Source organism: Homo sapiens, chromosome 4 (assembly GCF_000001405.40).
Source record: "Homo sapiens chromosome 4, GRCh38.p14 Primary Assembly".
NCBI lineage: Eukaryota > Metazoa > Chordata > Mammalia > Primates > Hominidae > Homo > Homo sapiens.
This window is the reverse complement of record NC_000004.12, coordinates 121,407,714-121,425,311: the sequence shown is the minus strand read 5'-3', so window position 1 is coordinate 121,425,311 and position 17,598 is coordinate 121,407,714. Positions and strand designations below refer to the sequence as shown.

At 37.5% G+C, this 17,598-nt stretch overlaps 1 long non-coding RNA gene across 1 annotated transcript in view, besides 3 other annotated features; it reads right to left on the bottom strand.

The window, feature by feature from the left end:
• LOC107986309 (uncharacterized) overlaps nt 1-17,598 on the bottom strand; it is a 123,175-nt gene that overhangs the window by 90,300 nt on the left and 15,277 nt on the right. The window lies entirely within an intron of this gene.
• Nucleotides 6,025-6,524: an enhancer, noted in NCBI's record as "H3K27ac hESC enhancer chr4:122339943-122340442 (GRCh37/hg19 assembly coordinates)". NCBI's record gives its function as "activates a minimal SCP1, AML or CMV promoter by ChIP-STARR-seq in naive H9 embryonic stem cells {active_cell/tissue: H9 hESC(naive)}" and the evidence as "EXISTENCE:reporter gene assay evidence [ECO:0000049][PMID:30033119]".
• Nucleotides 6,525-7,026: an enhancer, noted in NCBI's record as "H3K27ac hESC enhancer chr4:122339441-122339942 (GRCh37/hg19 assembly coordinates)". NCBI's record gives its function as "activates a minimal SCP1, AML or CMV promoter by ChIP-STARR-seq in naive H9 embryonic stem cells {active_cell/tissue: H9 hESC(naive)}" and the evidence as "EXISTENCE:reporter gene assay evidence [ECO:0000049][PMID:30033119]".
• Nucleotides 13,847-14,374: an enhancer, noted in NCBI's record as "H3K27ac hESC enhancer chr4:122332093-122332620 (GRCh37/hg19 assembly coordinates)". NCBI's record gives its function as "activates a minimal SCP1, AML or CMV promoter by ChIP-STARR-seq in primed H9 embryonic stem cells {active_cell/tissue: H9 hESC(primed)}" and the evidence as "EXISTENCE:reporter gene assay evidence [ECO:0000049][PMID:30033119]".

The following is a 17,598-nucleotide window of genomic DNA, read 5'->3' as shown; positions in this document are numbered from 1 at the left end:
ATAATAATAATAATATCATACATAATAATTATTAGGTACCAGGCATCATGCTGAATGTTTTATGTGCATGAATTAATATAACCCACATTCAATGAGGCTCAGAGGTTCAACTGATTTCACTAAGGACCCATATCTAACAAAAGTCAAAACTAAGATTTGGTCTATATCTTGGTCTAGTTCTAAAACCTCCCCCTTTACCACAAATTACATTTTAAACACCCTACACATTTGGATGCTGATTGTTACCATGAGAAGAGGGGACTAAATTGGAGAAGGGGCCTACAATATATCTGGTCTTATCCTACCTTCCTAGCTTTTAGTTTATGCCCCTTTATAAGTACACTTTATTTTAGATAAATTGCTTGGGTTTTCCTGCCTATTAAGATTTTGCTCATCATCATTATCTTTAATTCTCTCTGTCCTTGAAAGACCAGTTCAAATGCTAACTCCTTTATGTAGTCTTCCTTGACCTCCTCAGTGCTGCCTCTATAGCCTATGGATCTCTTATAGAAATTATTTCTAAGTGTCTTGTTTTGGGATTATATCCCTAATTTTAAAAAGCTCTTGTATGTTAGTATGTTCTTTACAGGTGAAGGCTATTTCTTCTTGATCTTTGTATATTTTTAACAACAATAGTTTTCATTTAAGTGGTATGCAATTTGTGGACTTCATTACTATTTCAAAAAAATTCTGAATCTATTATAAATTGTAAGTAATAATCTTGCTGTAACAGGTATCTTTCTTATGGGGTTACCTAAAGAGTCAGGTCTTTTAAGAACAAATTATACCAATGATTCTCAAATTCTAATGTGACTAGAAATCAATTGTGGATCATGTTAAAATGTAGATTCTGATTCTATAGTACTTGAGTTTCTATAATTGTAACAAACTCCCAGGTGATGTCAATGCTGCTGATTTATCAATCACAGTTTGAGTAAGAAGGTATTTCAGTTATAATGAAGAAAAATAAACTACTGTTAACAATTAAAGAAACTGCATCTATAATACCTACCTGGCTAATACTCTACTTTTGAGAGGCTAACCATATTGCCTTCTGTTCTCTAGGCAAGACAGTCTCTCAACCTTTACCTAGATAAGGAAAAATAACAGATTATCTTTAATCCACTCAGTAGATGTTCAGTTGCTACCTGCAGGACTTTAGTAGAGAGAAAAATTATTTCTCCACTTACTTGGTACCATTTGATTGCTGGGTGCACTGCATTTTCATCTTTGGAATAAGAACAATTAATTTAGTTTGGAAAATTCTTAAAACCTTGGGTTAAGTTTGCTAATAAAGTTTTGTGGGCAAAAAGAATTTGAAAATTTAAAATGTATATAGTGTTCAGTAATATCTACTAGGTATTATATGTTTCTCAATTTTAATTTTGGAAAAAGAACAATTAAAATGTTTAAAGTGTATTTGGGCATTAAAATGCTTTTAAGACCATGCTGTTTTTCAGGCAGGGCATCCGGACAAGTAACAGCCTTTCCCAGGATCATCTGTGGATGATATCTTTTCCTTCTTATTTCCATGCTAGTGATTGACCAAGACTTGGAAAGCATTTTGGTGTCACTTGATGGAATGAGATAATATGTCCATTCACTGAACAAAAACCTAGACAACCTTTGGTGAAAGTCTCTTCTACTCTTACGTCCATTTAAATTTTTTCCTATTACCTCTAAGAAAACCTTAACCTTAGGGGGCATCAAAACCAAAGATAGCCTGGAAATTCTGCATATACTTTTGCATAGTCTTCAAATATAAAGCTTTTTAATATATTAGAATATTTAAGGTAGCACTTAAATATAAAATATAACACATTTTTAAAGACATATGGAATTGCAAATCCTCTATCTCAGATTTGTAACTATGAGGATTCAATTTTAAGACAAGATAGATAGGACAATGGTAGCTGCCTAAATTTGAATCTTTCCAACTATCTATCCTATCATTTATCTATCCATCCATCCATCCATCTATATATGTATGTATATTCTCTCTCTCTACCTATATATCTATGGCAAGAGAAATGGCCTATTGCTACATAACTAAGCCATTTGTAGCATAACTGATAAATAAATTCTATAAACTTCAATTTATTTTTGAGAGTGGAAGTAATCATCCAAGAATAGTATAGTCGGCTGTGGAGCTGAGGATTGAGTGAAGTCAAGTAGGAATGACACAAAAGGGAGGAGAACACAGGTACAATGGGGTCATAGCAGCAGCGGAAGACAGATAACATCAGTTAGGGTTCACCTACAGAGTCTACTTCAAGTTGGAAAAAGAATACTGGAAACAGATCTGAGCCCTGGTAGGACTTGGCAAGGGCTACAAAAAATAAAAAGCTTATAAAGTATATGGAACTAGAGACTAGATGCATCAGTCTGGAGAAACATGATAGATTGTTTCCAAAGGTAACTATAACAACTCTCCCATCACTCATGTCTTTTTTTTTTTTTTTTTGTAATGTGACTTTGAAACTCCCCCCATTAGGAAGTAGAGTCTTGAATCTGGGTTTGCATTGTGACTTGCTTTGAACAAATGAATGTTGTAGTGAGACTATATAACTTTTGAAGCTAGATCTTAGAAGACTGTACAGCTTGCATCTGTGCCCTGTTGGAGTTCTGAGCACCCTGTAAAGAAATCCAGCTCTCCTGTCGGAGATTGCATTAAGACAAAAATGACCTTCAGTTAGAAATCACGAGAGGAGGCCGGGTGCGGTGGCTCACGCCTGTAATCCCAGCACTTTGGGAGGCCAGGTGGGCGGATCACGAGGTCAGGAGATGGAGACCATCCTGGCAAACACGGCGAAACCCCCGTCTCTGCTAAAAATACAAAAAAATTAGCCGGTAGTGGTAGGGGAGCGCCTGTAGTCCCAGCCACTCGGGAGGCTGAGGCAGGAGAATGGCGTGAACCCAGGAGGCGGACTTTGCAGTGAGCCGAGATTGTGCCGCTGCACTCCAGCCTGGGCGACAAAGCGAGACTCCGTGTTGGGAAAAAAAAGAAAAGAAAAAATCATGAGAGTAGAGGAGAGTTAGAAAGTCTTTATCCTGTGGGATAAAGTCCCACAGGAGAAAGAGGCCCTGGCATTCCAGCCATCCCAGCTAAGGAGTCAAAGCCATCTTGGATCTTCCAGCCCAAATTGCACTGTACGGATAGGCCCAGTGGACACCATGAGAAACAGAGGCAAGTTGCCCCAAAAGAGCCATGCCCAGATATCACAGAAAATCATAAACAAAGAAACTATTATTTTTAATCATTAAATTTTGGGGTTGTTTGTTTGCAGCAATAGGCAACTATTACGGGAAGATATTGTTTCTGGGATAAGTAGGCTTCTCAGAAACAGAAAGTTTCCTTGAATGTTTGATGATGAAGAGAAAAAAAGAAGAAAGTGATTAAGATGAAATATTCTACCAAAACAAGATAGAATCAAAACTAAGAAAAATGCAGAACAACAACAAAAAAGAGCTATTTGTTAAAGAAACTGCACTTCGCTGTAGCAACATTAGAGGGCACTCTTGAAATAGAAAAACTGAGTTAATCACCTAAACTCCTCCCTTGCTATTCTGGTCCGTATAGTCGCTACACAAACATGAACAAAATCAAGCAAACAAACAAACAAAATACCACTCAAGTACCCACTATAATTTCCGATAATTATGAAGCAGAAAATAATTACCAAAACATTTTGGTAAAGTGAGAGATAGATAAATAAAGAGAAGAAAAGCAAGAAGCAGAGCAACACTGCAACATAAATAAATTTAAATTTCGTTTAATGTTATTGAACAAGCAATTGCTGATATAAAAGAACAGAAAAATAATAAATTCAAAGGCCAGAAATAGAAATGTAAAAACAAGGTATGAACACATGCTGACAAAACTCAGGAAAGAAATTTAGAAAGACAAAAACATCTAAGAAATAAGCACTTAATTACAAGTGCCCAAGGGAGAAAAGATATGACGAAAAGAATGGCAAAGAACAGAAGATGGGGAGAAAAAAAATTTAAAGATGAAGGCAAGAGAAGGAAATAAAGAGCATATAAATTGTGAAGAAGGGAATCAAATTGCCCGTGTTTGCAGATGACATGATCTTATATGTAGAAAAGCCTAAAGACTAACAAAAAACATTTAAAACTGATAAACAAATTAAGTAAAGTTGTAATGTACAAAATCAGTGATGTTTCTATATACCAATAATAAACTAAATGAAAAATAAATCAAGAAAGCAATTCAATTTATAATAGCTGTAAAAAAAATAAATAGCTAGGAATAAATTTAACCAAGGAGGTGAAACATCTCTACAATGAAAACTACAAAACACTGTTAAAAGAATTTGAAAAGGACACAAAAAAAATAAAGACATACCATATTCACAGATTGGAAGAATTAATATTGTTAAGATGACCATATTACCCAAAGCAATTTACAGATTAAATGTAATCACTATCAAAATACCAATGACATTGTTCACAAAAATAGAAAAACAATTCTAAAATTTGTATGTAACCACAAAAGACTCTGAATAGCCGAAGCAATCATGAACAAAAAAAACAAAGCTGGCAGCATCATACCACTTGACTTTAAAATGAACTAGAAAGCTATATTAATTAAATAGCAGGATGCTGTTGTAAAAACAGACATATAAACCATTGGGAGAGAATAGAAAAGACAGAAATAAATCCATACATTTACAACCAACTGATTTTCAAGAAAGCTACCAAGAATGTACATTGGAGAAAAGACAGTCCCTTCCATAAATGATGCTGGAAAAACTGGATATCCACATTCAGAAGAATGAAATCAGATCCATCTTTCTCACCATATACAAAAATCAACTCAAAAGACTTAAATGTAAGACTGGAAATTATAAAATTAAGGGAAAGTATAGTGGAAATGCTTCAGGACAAAGGCCAGGAAAAAAAAATAACAACTTACGAATAAGAGCTCAAAACACAAGCAACAAACCAAAAAAAAAAAAAAAAAAAAAAAAAAAAAAAAAGACAGATGGAATTATATCAAACTAAAATGCTTCTGCACAGCAAAGGAAATAATCAAAAGAGGGAAGAGGCAACCTGAAGAATGGGAGAAAATATTTGCAAGCTATTTATTGACAAGAAATTAATAGCCAGAATATACAAGGAAGTAAAATAATAGCAAAAATAAAAGAAAAAGAAAAAAAGAAAAATCCAATTTAAAAACTGGGCAAATGAGTGAAGTAGACATTTTCCAGAAGACATACAAATGTCTAACAGGTATATGAAAATTTTCAACATCACTAATCACTAGGGAAATGCAAATAAAAGCCAAAATGAGATCACCTCACCCCAGTTAGAATAGCTATTATCAAAAAGACAAAAAATAAAAAATAAAATAACAAATGCTGGTGAAGATGCAGAGAAAACAGGATACTTATACACTGTTGGTGGGAATGTAACTTAGTACAGACACCATGGAAAACAGTATAAAGATTCCTCAAAAAACTAAAAATAAAACTACCATATGATCCATTAATCCCAGTACTGGATATACATTTAAAGGAAAGGAGATCAGTGTATTGAAGCAATATCTTCACTCCTATTTAGTGCAGCATTATTCACAGTAGCAAAAATATGAAATCAACCTAAGTATTCATTAACAGACAGATTTATATAAAAAAATACGGTATAGAGAGTATGGCAGATGGAAGGCAGGACTAGATTGCAGCTCCCACTCAGATGGACAGAGCAGCATGTGGAGGCTTGCATTGTGAACTTTTGCTCCAGAATGACTGTAGGAATAAATCAGGAAAACAGAGAAAACCCACAGACCCTCTGAAGAAAGCAGATTGCTCCTATAGGACCCGGGAGACACTCCAAATATGGTGAGCGTCCAAAGTGTGGAAATGAGAAAGGGGGACCATCTGCCTCCAAACACACATTCTCACTGGGGAACCTGAAGGTCTAGATCATGGGAGAAGATTCTGACCTTACCTGGAGCTGAGTCAGTTTAGAGAACTGAGTAAAATACAGACGTAGAAGAAGCAGCGGGAAAAGCCCCGTAGGCTTGCTGGCAAGCCATTTCTCCCTTGCTTCACAGTGGTCCTTCGGGTGGGCTGCCTGAGGTACTGGGAAAAGGTGACAGGAAAAGAAACCTCCAGCTGAACTGTAACAACTTGAACAGATCAAGAAGTATCCTGGCCAGAACTCGAGGGAGGAAGTGAATCCGGTGTGTAGACTCCACAAGTGAGGGAAGCATGAAAGCCCTACTTACTTTTGCAGATGAGAGGCAGGTAGCCTTGGGCAAGTTCTCAGCTCTGCTCCCCGACTGCCTAAAGACTCAGTACTGTTGGGGGTGACACAGTAAGAGTGAGACCAGCCCTCTGGGTTGTGTGGGAGCTGGGTGATGCCTGTAACTGGTGGCTTTTCCCCACTTCTCTGACAACCTGCATGACACAGCAAAGGCAGCCATAATTCTCTGAGGAACATAACTCCATTGACCTGGGAACCTCACGCCCAACCCCCACAGCAGTCACAGCAAGACCCACTAAAGAAGAGTATGAGCTCAGGCAAGCCTAGCCCTGCCCCCACCTAGTGGTCCTTCCCTGTCCACCATGGTAGCTGAAGACAAAGGTCTTATACTCTTAGGAGTAATAGCACCCCACCCATCACCTCTTCCTCCCGACACTACCACAGCTGATGCTCTCTGGAAAGCACCACCTCTGGGCAGGAGGCCAACCAGCACAAAAATGGTGCATTAAACAACCAAAGCAGAGAACCCTCACAGAGTCTATTTCACCCAACTGCCACTCCCACTGGAAGAGGTGCTGGTATCCATGGCTGAGAGACTCACAGATGGTTCACATCACAGGCCTCTGTGCAGACAACCACCAGTACCAGCCCAGAGCCAAGTAGACTTCCTGGGTGGCTAGACCCAGGAGAGAGATGCTGCAGCTCGGCTCACAGGAAGCCACATCCCTAGGAAAAGGAGGGGAGTACTACATAAAGGGAATACCCTGTGAGGCAAAAGACTCTGAACATCAGCCTTCAGCCCCAGGCTTTCCCTGTGACACAGCCTACCCAAATGAGAAAGAACCAGAAAACTAACTCTGGTAATATGACAAAACAAGGCTCTTTAATACACCCAAAAAAAATCACACTAGCTCACCAGCAATGGATTCAAACAAAGAAGAAATCCCTGATTTACCTGAAAAAAAATTCAGGAGGTTATTTATTAAGCTAACCAGGGAGGCACCAGAGAAAGGCGAAGCCCAGTGCAAGAAAATCCATGAAACAATACAAGGAGTTAAGGGAGAAATATTAACAGAAATAGTATAAATATAAAAAAGTCAAAACTTCAGGAAACAATGGATGCACTTATAGAAATGAAAAGCCTCTGGAAAGTCTCAGCAGCACAATCAAACAAACAGAAGAAGGAATTTCAGAGCTCAAAGACAAGATTTTCTAATTAACCCAATCCAACAAGACAAAGAAAAAAGAATAAGAAAATATGAACAAAGTCCCCAAGAAGTCTGGGATTATGCTAAATGACCAAACCTAAGAATAATTGGTGTTCCTGAGGAAGAAGAGAAATCTAAAAGTTTGGAAAATATTTTTGGGGAAATAATCAAGGAAAACTTCCCAGGCCTTGCTAGAGACCTAGACATTCAAATACAAGAAGCTCAAAGAACACCTGGGAAATTCATCACAGAAAGATCTTCACCTAGGCACACTGTCATCAGGTAAACTAAATTTAAGATGAAGGAAAGACTGTTAAGAGATGTGAGGCAAAAGGACCAGGTAACCTATAAAGGAAAACCTAAGAGATTGACAGCAGATTTCTAAGCAGAAACCATATAAGCTAGAAGGGACTGGGGCACTATCTTCAGCCTCCTCAAACAACATAATGATCAGCCAAGAATTTTGTACCTAGCAAAATTAAGCTTCATAAAGGAAGGAAAGATAGTCTTTTTCAGAAAAACAAATGCTGAGAGAATTCATCACTGCTGAGCCAGCACTACAAGAACTGCTAAAAGGAGCTCTAACTCTTGAAACAAATCCTAGAAACACATCAAAACAGAACCTCTTTAAAGCATTAATCTCACAGGACCTATACAACAAAAATACATTAAAAAAAAGCCAGAAAACCACATTACACGGGCAACAAATAGCACAATGAATGGAATGATACCTCACATCTCAATACTAACATTGAATGTAAATGGCCTAAATGTTCCACTTAAAAGATACAGAATTGCAGAACGGATAAGATTTTACCAATTCTTACCTCACGAGTCCTAACATATGAGGAGTCACATGAACTTAAGGTAAAGGGGTGGAAAAAGACATTCCATGCAAACTGACACCAAAAGCAAGCAGGAGTAGCCATATCAGATAAAACAAACTTTAAAGCAACAGCAATTAAAAGAGACGAAAAGAGATATTATATAATGATAAAAGGCCTTGTTCAACAGGAAACTATCACAATCCTAAATATATATCCATCTAACACTGGAGTTCCTGAATTTATAAAACAATTACCAATACACCTAAGAAATGAGACAGAGAGCAACACAATAATAGTGGGGGACTTCAATACTCCACTGACAGCATTAGGTCATCAAGACAGAAAGTAAACAAAGAAACATTGGATTTAAAATACACCCTGTAACAAATGGACTTAACAGATATTTACAGAATATTCTACTCAACAAGTGAAGAACATACATTCTATTCATCAGCACATGGAACTTCCTCCCAGATAGACCATATGATAGGCCATAAAATGAGCCTCAATAAATTTAAGAAAATTGAAATTGTATCAAGCACTCTTCCAGACCACAGTGGACTAAAACTGAAAATCACCTCCAAAAGGAATCTTCCAAACCATGCAAATACACGAAAATTAAATAACCTACTCTTGACTGAGCAATGGGTAAAAATGAAATCAAGATTGAAATTTAAAAATTCTTCAAACTGAATGACAGTAGTGACACAACGTGTGAAAGCCTCTAGGATACAGCAAAGGCAGTGCTAAGGGGAAAGTTCATAGCCCTAAATGCCTACATCAAAAAGTCTAAAAGAGCACAAACAATCTAAGGTCACACCTCAAGGAACTATTAAAACAAAAACAAACAAAACCCAAAGCCAGCAGAAGAAAGGAAATAACCAAGTTTAGAGCATAACTAAAAGAATTGAAATCAGAAAAAAGCAATACAAAAGATAAAAATGTAGCAAAAAGCTGGTTCCTTGAAAAGATAAATAAAATTGATAGATCATTATCAAGATTAACCAAGAAAAGATGAGAGAAAATCCAAATAAGTTCATAGGAAACAAAACTAAAGATATAACAACTGACACCACAGAAATACAAAAGATCATTCAAGGCTACTATGAAGAGCTTTAGATGCGTAAACTACAAAACCAAGAGGAGATGGATAAATTCCTGGAAAGATACAACTTTCCTAGCTTGAATCAAGAAGAATTAGATACCCTGAACACACTAATAACAAGAGTGAGATTGAAATCGTAATAAAAAAATTACCAATAAAAATGGTCCAGGACCAGATGGATTCACAGAATTCTATGAGACATTAAAAGAAGAATTGGTACCAATCCTATTGACACTATTCCACAAGTTAGAAAAAGAAGAAATCCTCACTAATTTATTTTATGAAGCCAGTATCACCCTAATACCCAAACCAGGAAAGGACATATCCAAAAAAGAAAACTACAGAGCAATATCCCTGATGAACATAGATGCAAAAATTCATAACAAAATACCAGCTAACCAAATCCAACAACATCAAAAAATTAATCCACCAGCAAAATCAGCATACAAGGGACACACCTGAATGTAATAAAAGCCGTCTATGACAAACCCACAACCAACATAATACTAAATGGGGAAAAGTTAAAAAGCATTCCCTCTGACAACTAGAACAAGACAAGGATGCCAACTCTCACCAATTCTCTTCAACATAGTACTGGAAGTCCTAGCCAGAGCAATCAGACAAGAGAAAGAAATAAAGGTCATCCAAATTTGTAAAGAGGAAGTCAAACTGTTGCTGTTTGCTGATGATACGATTATTTACCTCGAAAACCCTAAAGACTCCTCCAGAAAGCTCCTAGAACAGATAAAAGAATTCAGCAAAGTGTCTGGATACAAAATTAAAGTATACTAATTAGTAGCTCTTCTATACACCAGCAGCAACCAAGCTGATAATCAAATCATGAACTCAACCCCTTTTACAATAGCAGCAAATAAAATAAAATACTTAGGAACATACCTAACCACAGAGGCAAAAGGCCTCTACAAGAAAAACTATAAAATGCTGCTGAAAGAAATGATAAATGATCCAAACAAATGGAAACATATTCTATGCTCGTGGATGGGTAGAATCAATATTGTGAAAATGACCGTATTGAAACAAAAATCTACAAATTCAACACAATTCCCATCAAAATACCAACATCATTCTTCACAGAACTAGAAAAAAAATCCTAAAATTCATATGGAACCAAAAAAGAGTCCACATAGCCAAAGCAAGACTAAGCAAAAAGAACAAATCTGGAGGCATCACACTACGTGACTTCAAACTATACTATAAGGCCATATTAACCAAAACAGCATGGTACTGGTATAAAAGTAGGCACACAGACCATTGGAACAGAATTGGGAACCCAGAAATAAAACCAAATACTTATAGCCAACTGATCTTTGACAAAGCAAACAAAAACATAAAGTGAGGAAAGGACACCCTCTTCAACAAATGGTGCTGGGATAGTTGGCAAGCCACATGTAGGTGAATAAAACTGGGTCCTCATCTCTCATCTTATACAAAAATCAACTGAAGAGGGATCAAGGACTTAAATCTAAGACCTGAAACTACAGAACTTCTAGAAGATAACATTGGAAAAACTTTTCTAGATATTGACCTAGGCAAGTATTTCATGACCAAGAACACAAAAGCAAATTCAATAAAAACAGAGATAAATAGTTGGGACATAATTAAACTAAAGAGCTTTTGCATGGCCAAAGGAACTGGCAGCAGAGTAAACAGACAACTCACAGAGTGAGAGAAAATCTTCACAATCTATACATTTGACAAAAAACTAATATCCAGAATCTACAACAAACAAATTAGCAAGAAAAAAACAAACAATCCCATGAAAAAGTGGGCTAAGGACATGAACAGACAGTACTCAAAAGAAGACATACAAATGGCCAACAACTATACAAAAAAATGATTGACATCACTAGTTATAAGGAAAATGCAAATCAAAACCACAATGCGATACCATCTTACTCCTACAAGGATGGCCATAACCAGAAAATGAAAAAATAATAGATGTTGGCATGGATGTGGTGAACAGGGAACACTTCACTGCTGGTGGGAATGTAAACTAGCAAAACCACTACGGAAAACAATGTGGAGATTCCATAAAGAACTAAAAGTAGAAATACCATTTGGTCCAGCAATCCCACTACTGGGTATCTACCCAGAGGAAAAGAAGTCATTATACGAAAAAGACACTTGCACACGCATGTTTATAGCAGCACAATTTGCAACTGCAAATGTGGAACCAACCCAAATGCCCATCAATCAATGAGTGGATAAAGAAACTGTGAGATATATATATATGTGTGTGTGTGTGTGTGTGTGTGTATGTATGTATATATGATGAACGACTACTCAGCCATAAAAATGAATGAATTAATGAATTAATGGCATTCCCAGTGACCTGGATGAGACTGGAGACTATTATTCTAAGTGAAGTAACTCAGGAATGAAAAACCAAACATTATATGTTCTCCCTCATAAGTAAGAGCTAAGCTATGAGGATACAAAAGCATGAGAATGACACAATGGACTTTGGGGACTCAGAAGGAAAGCGTGGGAAGGGGGTGAGGGATAAAAGACTACAAATTGTGTGCAATGTGTACTGCTCAGGTGATGGATGCACCAAAATCTTACAAATCATCACTAAAGAACTTACTAATGTAATAACCACTGTTCCCCAATAACGTATGGAAATAAAAAATGTTTTTTAAAAAGGAAAATATGGTATATATACATAATGGACAAGTAATATTATACAGCCTTTAAAAAGAACAAAATCTTGTCATTTGTAACAACATGGATGATCCCGGAGAACATTATGTGAAATTAGCCAGGCACATAATAAATATTGCATTTTTCTCACTCTTATGTGGAAGCTAAAAAAGTTGATCTCACAGAAATATTGAGCAGAATAGTGGTTACTGGGAAGTAGCTGGGAAGAGTGGTGGGGACAATAGGAAGAGGCTGATTAAAGGATACAAAATTACAGGTAGATAAGAGGAATAGGTTCAAGTGTTTTGTAGCATTGTAGCATGACTATATTAATAATAATTGCAAGCCTACTGCAGGGTATCTTCCCAAAGGAACAGAAATCATAATATCAAGAAGATACCTGCACTTATATGCTTATCACTGCACTATTCACAATAGCAAAGATATGGAATCAACTAAGTGACCATCAATGGATGATTGGATAAAGAAAATACAGCACATACACATCATGGAATACCACTCAACCATTAAAGAATACAATCATGTCTTTTGCAGCAACATGGATGGAATTGGAGGCAATTATCTTAAGTGAAATAACTTAGAAACAGAAACTCAATACTGCATGTTCTCACTTATAATTGGGTGCTAAATAATGTGTATGCATGGATGGAGAGTGGAATTATAGACATGAAAGATGCAAAAAGGTGGGACTGTAGGAAAGGGGTAAGGATGAGAAATTACCTAATGAGTACAATGTACATTGGTTACACTAAAAACCTGGACCTCACTGTTACACAGTATATCCATGTAACAGAACTGCACTGTACCCCTAAATCTATAAAAATAAAAATTGAGAAAAACCCCAGTAATTTACTGAATATTTTCAAGTAGCCAGAAGAGAGAGTTTTGAACATTCCCAACACAAAGAAATGATAAATGCTCAAGGTGATGGATATGCAAATTACCCTGATTTGATCATTACACACTGTATAATTGAAATATCACCCTGTACCATATAAATATGTACAAATATTGTGTTATTTAAAAAATATTTAAAGAATTAAACTATAATAAAGAAAAGCAGAGGAGCATCATGGCAGATGGGAGGCAGGACTAGCTTATAGCTCCAACTTGGATGGATAGAGCAGTGTGTGGAAGCTCACATCATAAATTTTAGCTGCAGAACAATTGCAAGAACAAACCAGGAATCCCAAGAGGACCTACAGATCCTCTGAAGGAAGTGGACTACTCCTGCAGGACCCGAGCGACACCCCAAATACTGTGAGTGCCCAAACTGCCAAAATAGGGAAGGGAGAGCCTCTGCTCCTGAACACACCTGCCCCCCAACTGGAGAAACTGAAGGTCTAGTTTGCATGAGAAATTTCTGACCTTACCTGGACCTGAGTCAATTGAGAGAGCCGAGAGAAATACAGGGGTAGAGGAAGCAGCGGGAAAGGCTGTGGAAGCTCACAGGCCATTCCTGGCTGGCATCACAGGGATCCTTTGAAAAAGCAGCCAGAGGTGCAGGGGAAAACACTACAGGAAGAAGGAAGTCTCCAGCTGAACTTTGTAACAATTTGAACCGGGTGAGAAGCCTGCTGGCCAGAACTCAGGGGGAGGGCATGAATCTGGTGTGCAGGCTCCACAGGTGGGGGAAGAACCATAGTCCTTTTCTTTCACAGCTGGGAGGCAGGCAGCCTGGGGCAAGTTCTCAACCCTGCTTGCCCCCTGCCTGGAAACAGACTTAAGGTTGTTAGGGGGGCACAGTGGGAGTGAGACCAGCCCTTTGGATTGCATGGGAGCTGGGTGAGGCCTTTGACTGCCGGCTTTCCCTCACTTCCCTGACAACCTGCATGACTCACCAGAAGCAGCCATAATCCTCCTAGGTACACAACTTCATTGACCTGGGAACCTCACCCCCAACCTCCAGAGCAGCTGCAGCAAGACCCACCACAGAGAGTCTGAGCTCAGACATGCCTGACCCTGCCCCCACCCAGTCCTTTCCTATCCACACCAGGTAGCTGAAGACAAAGAGCATATATGCTTGGGATTTCTAGGGCCCTGCCCACAACTTGTTCCTCCCCATACTACCACAACTGATGCTCTCTGGAAAGCACCAACTCCTGGCTAGAGGTCAACCAACACAAAAATAGAACATTAAATCACCAAAGCTAAGAACCCTCACAAGGTCCATTTCACCTCACTGCTACCTGACTGGAACAGGTGCTGGTATCCACAGCTTAGAGACCCATAGACTGTTTATATCACAGGTCTCTGTGCGAACGACACCCAGTGCCGGCCTGGAGCTGGGTAGACTTGCTGGGTAGCTAGACACAGAAGAGAGATATCACTGCAGCTCAGCTCTCAGAAAGCCACATCTCTAGGAAAAGAAGGAGAGTACTACATCAAGGGAACACCCCGTAGGACAAAAGAATCTGAACAACAGCCTTCAGCCCTAGACCTTCCCTGTGATAGAGCCTACCCAAATGAGAGGAAACCAGAAAAAACAACTTTGGTAATATGACAAAACAAGGCCCTTTAACACCCCCAAACATTCACACTAGCTCACCAGCAATGGATACAAATCAAGAAGAAATCCCTGATTTATCTAAAAAAGAATTCAGGAGGTTAGTTATTAAGCTAATCAGGGAGGCACCAGAGAAAGCCAAAGCCCAATGCAAGAAAATCCAAAAAACAATACAAGAAGTGAAGGGAGAAACATTCAAGGAAATAGATAGCATAAAGAAAAAAACAATCAAAACTTCAGGAAACATTGGACACACATATTGAAATGCAAAATGCTCTGGAAAGTCTCAGCAATAGAATTGAACAAGTAGAAGAAAGAACATCAGAGCATGAAGACAAGGTCTTTGAAAAAACTTAATCCAACAGAGACAAAGAAAAGAAAACATGGAAAATATGAACAAAGCCTCCAAAAAGTCTGGGATTATAAATGACCAAACCTAACAATAATCAGTGTTTCTGAGGAAGAAGAGAAATCTAAAAGCTTGGAAAACATATTTGGGGGAATAATCGAGAGACACTCCCCTGGGCTTGCTAAAGACCTAGACATCTAGATACAAGAAGCACAAAGAACACCTGGGAAATTCGTTACAAAAAGATCACCACCTAGGCATATTGTCATCATGTTAACTAAAGTTAAGATGAAGGAAAGAATCTTCAGAGATGTGAGGCAAAAGCACCAGGTAACCTGTAATGGAAAACCTATCAGATTACCAGCAGATTTCTTAGCAGAAACCTTACAAGCTAGAAGGGATTGGGGCACTATCCTCCGCCTCTTCAAACACAACAATTATCAAGCCAAGAATTTTGTATTCAGCAAAACTAAGCATCATATATGAAGGCAAGATAGTCTTTTTTAGAAAAACAAATGCTGAGAGAATTTGCCACTACCAAGCCACCACTACAAGAACTGCTAAAAGGACCTCTAAATCTTGAAAAGAATCCCAGAAACACATCAAAATGGCCTCTTCAAATTATCAATCAAACAGGACCTATAAAACAAAAATACAACTTAAAAAGCAAAAACAAAAAACAAAAATCCAAGGTACACAGGCAACAAATAGCATGATCAATGCAATGGTACCACATATCTCAATACGAACTCTGAATGTAAATGGCCTAGAGGCTCCACTTAAAAGATACAGAATTGCAGAATGGATAAGAATTTACCAACCAACTATCTTTTGCCTTCAAGAGACTCACTTAACACATAAGAGCTACATAAACTTAAAGGGGTGAAAAAAGGTATTTTATGCAAATGGACACCAAAAGCGAGCAGAGTGGCTATTCTTATATCAGACAAAACAAACTTTAAAGCAATAGCAGTTAAGAAAAAGAGGGACCTTATATAATGGTAAAAGCCTTGTCCAACAGAAAAGTACCACAATCCTAAATACATATGCACCCAACACTGGAGCTCTCAAATTTATAAAACAATTACTATTAGACCTAAGAAGTGAGATAGACAACAACACAATAATAGTGGGGAACTTCAATACTCCACTGACAGCAGTAGAGAGATCATCAAGACAGAAAACAAAGAAACAATAGATTTTAATTATACCTTGGAAGAAATGGACTTAACAGATATATACAGAACATTTCATCTAACAACTGCAGAATACACCTTCTATTCAACAGCACATGGAACTTTCTCCAAGATAGACCATATGATAGGTCATAAAACCAGCCTCAATAAATTTAAGAAAATTGAAATTATATCAATTACTCTCTAAGACCACAGTAGAATAAAACTGGAAATCAACTCCAAAGGGAACCTTCAAATCCATGCCAATACATGGAAATTAAATAACCTGCTCCTGAATCAGCACTAGGTCAAAAACAAAATCAAGATAGAAATTAAAACATTCTTTGAAATGCATGACAATAATGAAACAACCTATAAAAACCTCTGGGATACAGCAGAGGCGGTACTAAGAGGGCCCTAAATGCCTACATCAAACAGACTGAAAGAGCACTGACTGACATTCTAAGGTCACACTTCAAGAACTAAAGAAACAAAAACAAACAAAACCCAAACCCAGCAGAATAAAGGAAATAACCAAGATCAGAGCAGAACTAAATGAAACTGAAACAATAACAAAAAATACAAAAGATAAATGAAACAAAAAGCTGGTTCTTTGAAAAGATAAATAAAATTGATAGACCGTTAGCAAGATTAACCAGGAAAAAAAGAGAAAATCCAAATGATCTCATTAAGAAACTAAATGGGAGATATTACAAAGGACACCACTGAAATACAAACGATCATTCAAGGCTACTATGAACACCTTTTGCCCATAAACTAGAAAGCCTAGAAGAGATGGATAAATTCCTGGAAAAATACAACCCTCCTAGCTTAAATCAGGAAGAATTAGACACCCTGAACAGACCAATAACAAGCCACAAGAATGAAATGGTACCAAAAAAAATTACCGACAAACAAAAGTCCAGGACCAGATGAATTCACAGCAGAATTCTAACAGACATTCAAAGAAGAATTGGTACCAATCCTTTCAACACTATTCCACAAGAAAGAGAAAGAGGAAACTGTCCCTAATTCATTCTATGAAGTCAGCATCACCCTAATACCAAAACCAAGAAAGGATATAACCAAAAAAGAAAACTACAGACCAATATCCCTGATGAACGTAGATGCAAAAATCCATAACAAAATACTAGCTAACTGAATCCAACAACATATCAAAAAGATAACACACCATGATCAGATGGGTTGCATACCAGGGATGCAGGGATGGTTTAACATATGTAAGTCAACAAACGTGATACACCATATAAACAGAATTAAAAACAAAAATCACATGATCATCTCAACAGATGCAGAAAAAGCATTTGACAAAATCCAGCATCATTTGTGATTAAAACTCTCAGCAAAATCAGCATACAAGGCATACAAGACACACCTGAATGTAATAAAATCCATCTATGACAAACCCACAGCCAACATAGTACTAAATGGGGAAAAGTTGAAAGCATTCCCGCTGACAACTGGGACAAGACAAGGATGCCCACTCTCACCATT